Source organism: Homo sapiens, chromosome 11, assembly GCF_000001405.40.
Source record: "Homo sapiens chromosome 11, GRCh38.p14 Primary Assembly".
NCBI classification, from domain to species: domain Eukaryota; kingdom Metazoa; phylum Chordata; class Mammalia; order Primates; family Hominidae; genus Homo; species Homo sapiens.
The window spans coordinates 118650884-118656682 of NC_000011.10; the positions used below are offsets into that span (position 1 = coordinate 118650884).

The 5799-nt window shown below is 49.2% G+C and overlaps 1 protein-coding gene across 49 annotated transcripts in view; it reads left to right on the plus strand.

The window, feature by feature from the left end:
* PHLDB1 (pleckstrin homology like domain family B member 1) overlaps positions 1–5799 on the plus strand; it is a 51593-nt gene that overhangs the window by 44448 nt on the left and 1346 nt on the right. For 27 of the 49 annotated variants that reach the window (XR_947813.3, XM_047426640.1, XM_047426637.1 and 24 more), the window contains one exon: positions 4722–4807. Coding sequence is in view for 47 of the 49 variants with exons in the window: in XM_047426640.1 (XP_047282596.1) it covers positions 4722–4807 (86 nt within the window). In the remaining 2 variants the exon portion in view is untranslated. Of the gene's footprint in view, positions 1–4721; positions 4808–4976; positions 5010–5799 lie in introns of those variants that run through there. The other 22 variants (NM_015157.4, XM_011542709.3, XM_047426638.1 and 19 more) reach the window with 2 other exon arrangements.

Consider the following 5799-nt stretch of genomic DNA (forward strand, 5'->3'; position numbering starts at 1 on the left):
GCTGATAGGAGACATCCAGGCACTGCAGGAGCATGGGGTCTTATGGTCAGAGTTGGGCTGGGAACTCCCCCTTGGACAAATTCCATCAGAGATTCCAAGACAAGCAGTTGAACAGTGCCAAAGAGTGCTCAGGATAGCCCAGGAACAGGCCGACTAGACCCTCTTGCTCTCTCAGCTCTCTCCGTTCCAGCATCTAGCCTAGTTTCCCATCCCTGGAACTCCCTTGTACTTTTCCCACTTGGAGCGTGGGATGCTGTGTTATACCCTAGTCAGGAGGAGGTAAGGTATGCTGCAGTAACAAGAAGTCATAAAATCCCAGTGGCTGGACAGGTGCAGTGGCTCACACCTGTGATCCCAAAACTTTGGGAGGCCAAGGTGGGCAGATAGCTTGAGGCTAAGAGATTGAGACCAGCCTGGGCAACATGGTGAAACTTTGTCTCTACTAAAAATACAAAAATTAGCTGGGCGTGGTGGCATGCACCTGTAGTCCCAGCTACTCGGGAGGCTGAGCACGAGAATTGCTTGAACCCAAGAGACAGAGGTTGCAGTGAGCCGAGACTGCGCCACTGCACTCCAGCCTGGACAACAGCGTGAGACTCTGTCTCAAAAAAATAAATTAAAAGGCCGGGCATGGTGTCTCATGCCTGTAATCCCAGCACTTTTGAGAGGCCGAAGCGGGCAGATCACGAGGTCAAGAGATTGAGACCATCCTGGCCAACGTGGTGAAACCCCGTCTCTACTAAAAATACAAAAATTAGCTGGGCATGGTGGCACGCGCCTGTAGTCCCAGCTACTCGGGAGGCTGAGGCAGGAGAATTGCTTAAACCCAGGAGGCAGAGGTTACTGTGAGCTGAGATCGTGCCACTGCACTCTAGCCTGGCGATAGAGCAAGACGCCGTCTCAAAAAAAAAAAAAAAAGGAAATCTCAGTGGCTTACAAGTACTAGGCTTCCTTATGCCCAATACATGTCGACTGCACATTGTGAGTTGGTGGGGGCTTTGCTGTGCATCAGCGTTGTCTTTGCTTCAGCATGGCTTTTGGGAACATTTCTGGCCACAGTGGCAGAGGGAAAGAGAGGCTTAAGTGAGCCCGGCCTTGGTATTAAATGTCCTAGTTGGGAAGTGACACACATCATTTCTGTCCAGAAGTCATAGATGGGGCTGTCTGCCAGTCACACAGCCTCACCTAGCCACACAGCTGGGAAGAGCAATCCTGCTAGGAGCTCAGAAGAGGGGAAAGGGCTGCAGAGTTTGGTGCCAGAGATGCTCAGGTCTGGAGTGCCCACTTCCCCCCTAACCTGGTCCCTGATCACCTGCTGGCCCCTCTAAGAAACCTTCCCTGACCACCCTGGGTCTTGGGTGTTTTGAGGAGGCAGGAGGACCAGAAGCACAGGTGTCCCATGTTTCTCTCTGGGCCAGGAAGGTAGAGGGACTAGGGACTTTGGAGAGGAAGAAACATGCCTGGGGAAAGGAGTTCCATTTTAGGCATGTTGAGATTGAAGTGCCTCTGGGACATCTAGGTTTAGGAGGATGGTCAGGATTAGAGGTGGAGTAATAGTTGAATCAGGTGGAATAATAGTAATAGCAGATCACCTTTATCAAGCACTTGCATGAGCCAGGCGCTGTGCTAAGCACTCTGCATGCATCATCTCATTAATCTTTGAAATAATCCTATGAGGGAAACACTATTTTTATGCCATTTTACCGATGAGGAAAATGATGCTCAGAGAGGTTAAGTAAATTGCCCAAGGTCCCACAGCTCCTAAGAGACAGAGATAAGACTGAACCTGGGCAGTCAGACTGCAGAGCAGAGAAGAGGGGAGGGAGAGGGCCGAACCCTGGGGCAGGCCTACCCGTGTGGGGAAGGAGAAAGAGGAGAGACCAGCAGAGGGAGAAGGGGCAGGAGACAGGAAGCCAGCACTAACCACATGCCAGGTGCTGGGCTGGTGCTTGGCATATGTGGCCTTAGTTAGCGCCTGTGGAACAAAAGGAGACTAAGTTCAGATGGCAGGAATAGAAATGGGAGCAGAAACAGGGAAGGAAGCCAGCCAAAGGAGCAGACATTCACAAGCAGGAGGTGTCACCAGCAGTGATGGATGCTGCAGGAAGGCCAAGAAAGATGTGGCCCAAAGGCTGTTAGACTCAGGGATGGGAGCTTGTCAAGAGAAGGCTTTCTGCTGTGCATGGGGCCAGGAGCCAGACTGCACAAGATTGAGGATAGGTGGGTGGTAAGGAAGCGGAGGCAGGAGTGTGTTACTATTTCCTGTGAAGGAAGGGATGGGAGAGAACAGGAGCTGGAGGGCTGAGCAGGCCCAGAGCCAGGCAGGGCTGGTCCTTTACCAAGGAGGAAATGTCAGAAATGGGCCTGTGGCTGGATAAGGGCCATGGGTGCCTTGCCTATTCCGCTTGGACCCTCTTCCTGCCAACTCGATAGAAACCCCCTCATTGCATGGAGTCCAGATTACGTATTATATCTAGGAAGCCTTTCCTGACCCCACCTTACTAGGAGTGATTCCCACCCTCCTCTGAACCCCTGCATTATCCAGCATCTGTTTTTCCATGTGACATCAATCCAGGAGTGTAATGATATAATAACAGTGCCACGTTATGTGCCACACACTGTGCTGAATACCTTAAATGTGTTCTTTCATTTAATACTCATGACAACCTGTGATGCGTAGGTGGTCTCATGGGGTTCCTAGCCATGCCTTTAGTAGCTATTTACATAGCTGTGTGTCTGTATTTTCCTCACTGTGAGATTGTAGTTTCCTAAGAGAAGGGTCTCTGACTTCTCTCTGAATCCCAGTGTCTAGGACTCATTCCTTCAGTATTGGGTACCTACTGTGTGCCAGGCACATAGTTGTTTGTGTTGGGGGAGGTAGACCATGGAATGGATAAAGGAGGATTCAGATTCAGCATAAGTTCTATACAGAGGAGCATCTGTGCTTTGGGAACACAGGAGAGCACAACTGTGCACTGTCGTGGTGACATTTTGCAATGGGTCTTGAAGATCATTTAGGAGTTTGCTAAGGAAATGGGCTGGAGGAGATAGTTCCAGCATACAGGGTGTATTATTAAGGGAACAGTGAGAAGCTCAGATAGGACTTGGGACTCATGCAGGGGAAGGTTATGATACAAGGCTGGAGGGACATGTTGGCAGCAGTCCGTAAGTTGCCTTTACCAAGCTGCAGAGGTCGGGGAGAGGAGGAGCACTCGGGAAGGAACTTACTTCCAGCCGGCACCATTGAATTTAGTGATTCGCGTGACCTCTCCTGTAGGACGCAGGCTCACTGTTAAGGATGTCAGCTGTAGCATCTGAGCAGTGCCACAGACAAGTTGGCCCAGGCCCTGTGCTTTCCCTTGACAGGGATCCTGCCCCTTCTCACTGAATGGTCACCTCTGCTCAGGTAGTTTGCCCCTTTCCTGCCACCTCTGACCTCCAGAGGCTATATGCTATATGTATATGCTAACTGCTCTGTACACATCAAGGGAGTGTGCTTCCTATCTTTTTTTTTAAAAAATAGGTAAAAGTATTCATATAGTTCAAAAATAAAAAATATATAAAAAGGTTTAAATTGAGAATTATGCCCCACCCACTACAGTAACTAATTTTATAAATCTCTTGTGTATCCTTATAGAGTTTCTATAGGAGAATATAAACAAATACTTTTTCTTGCACAAAAGGTGGCATACAGTACATTCTTTTTACCTCCTAATGTGTCTTAGAGATCATTTTATATCAAATTTATCTATATCTAGACATTATATCTCGATATAAATTATAGACTTATTTCTGAGTCTGTATCTGTATCAGATATTTCTTTCTTTCTCTTTTTTTTTTTTTTTTTTTTTGAGACAGAGTTTTGCTCTTTTTGCCCAGGCTGAAGTGCAGTGGCGTGATCTCAGCTCACTGCAACCTCCGCCTCCCGGATTCAAGTGATTCTCCTGCCTCAGGCTCCCGAATAGCTGGGATTATAGGCATGCACCACCACACTCGGCTTATTTTTGTATTTTGAGTAGAGACGGGGTTTCACCATGTTGGCCAGGCTGGTCTCGAACTCCTGACCTCAGGTGATCCACCCTCCTCGGCCTCCCAAAATGCTGGAATTATAGGCATGAGCCACCATGCCTGGCCTATATCATTTTACTTAACAGCTGTATTTAGTCTTCCATGATGTGACACACACTAACTTATTAACCAGTCTCCACTTGATTGATATTTTGGTTGTTTCCAATCTTCTGTGACTGCAGACAATACTATACTTAATAATCTTGTGTGTGTTACTTTGTATATGTGAAAGAGAAATTCTCCTAAATGTAAGCATTGGATCAAAAGATAAATGCCTTTCTAATTTTGATAGACATGGCCAAATTGTTCATAAGGGTTTTACCAATTTATACTCCCACATGTCATTAGACTGCCTCCTTCACCATAGACTTGCCAAAAGTGTGCTGTATATTTGTTGTATGTTTTTGTCATTGGGGTAGGTGAGAAGTGGTATCTCAGTGGAGTTCTGATTTGTATTTCTCTGTGATTATGAGTGAGGCTGAGCATTATCCATATCTTTAGGATTCTGTATTGGGTTCTGTTTGGGGGTCTTGGGAGACTAGGATCTTCACCCCATTTCCCAGATTTGGAAGCTCAGGCCATGGAGCTCCACGTAAATGGAGCTAGACCTGAAGTGTGACCGGCTCCATAGCCCACCCTTACTTGCTTTGCAGACAAGCATGAGACGAAGCTGAAGGGAGTCATCTATTTCCAGGCCATTGAGGAAGTGTACTACGACCACCTGCGCAGTGCAGCCAAGGTCAGGGGTGGAGGGCACCAGAGGGGGGCCAGAGGGACAGCCATGGGGAAGGGGTGGCCTGGTGGGGCTCTGGGAGCAAAGGCCTCCAGCCTGCCCTCTACAGAGGCTCCAACCCAGTCCTTGTTCTCTTTGTCAACTTTCTCTTCCTTTCTCCCTCTCCCCTTCCCAGAAGAGGTTTTTCCGCTTCACTATGGTGACTGAGGTACCCCTCCCCACTTAGCTGTAACCAGCACATTAACACCTCCTGTACCCCACTCATCCCTGACCCTTGACCTCCCCTTCATCCCCCTCCCTTCCCCCAGGCCCAAGGGAGGAGCAGAAAGCAGGTTGCAAAGAGCAAGAAGCTCCTGTGGGCTTGGGTGCCTCTCTCTCCTTGTTGCCTCCCTCTCCTGGAAATGACAGCAGACCCCATGGGGGTCTGGTGATAGAGAAGGGATGGCCGGAAGGGGTGGAGGGGACCCTTAAAGACTAGATTTAATAGGGAGAAATTGATAAACAGGAGATATTGGAGGCTGGGGCCTGCTTCCCTAGTGCAAGTCAGCCTTCCTGCCCCCAGCCCTCTGGTGCCCACCCCAGTCCTGATCTCTGCTCCTCTGGGGTCCCAGGGCCTGGCATCCTACTTGTTGCTTTTTCTGTCTGCCGCTGTTTTGCTGAGAGGAAACTCTGGTCCTCACTGGAAAAGCCTTTGTGTTTGATCCTCTTGATACTCACTTTTGAACCTGGGGCGCCAAGGACCAGTGCCCCCCTTGTCAGGGTATAGCTCTGTCAGGGTCCAGGGAGTTTAGAGAGCCCAGGACTGCTGTGGTGTGAGAAGGGAACATTTCAGCCTGGGGCTCACATGGACTGGTAGGGTCTAGGCTCTGGACCTATTTAGGACTAAGCTCCAGGGCTTTCTAGGGGCTGGGAGGGGAAAGGGCAGATAGGGAGGCAGGTGAGAATATTCCTGGGCATGGGTGAGCCCCATCTTAGACCTTCCTCTCTTCCTTTGGCAG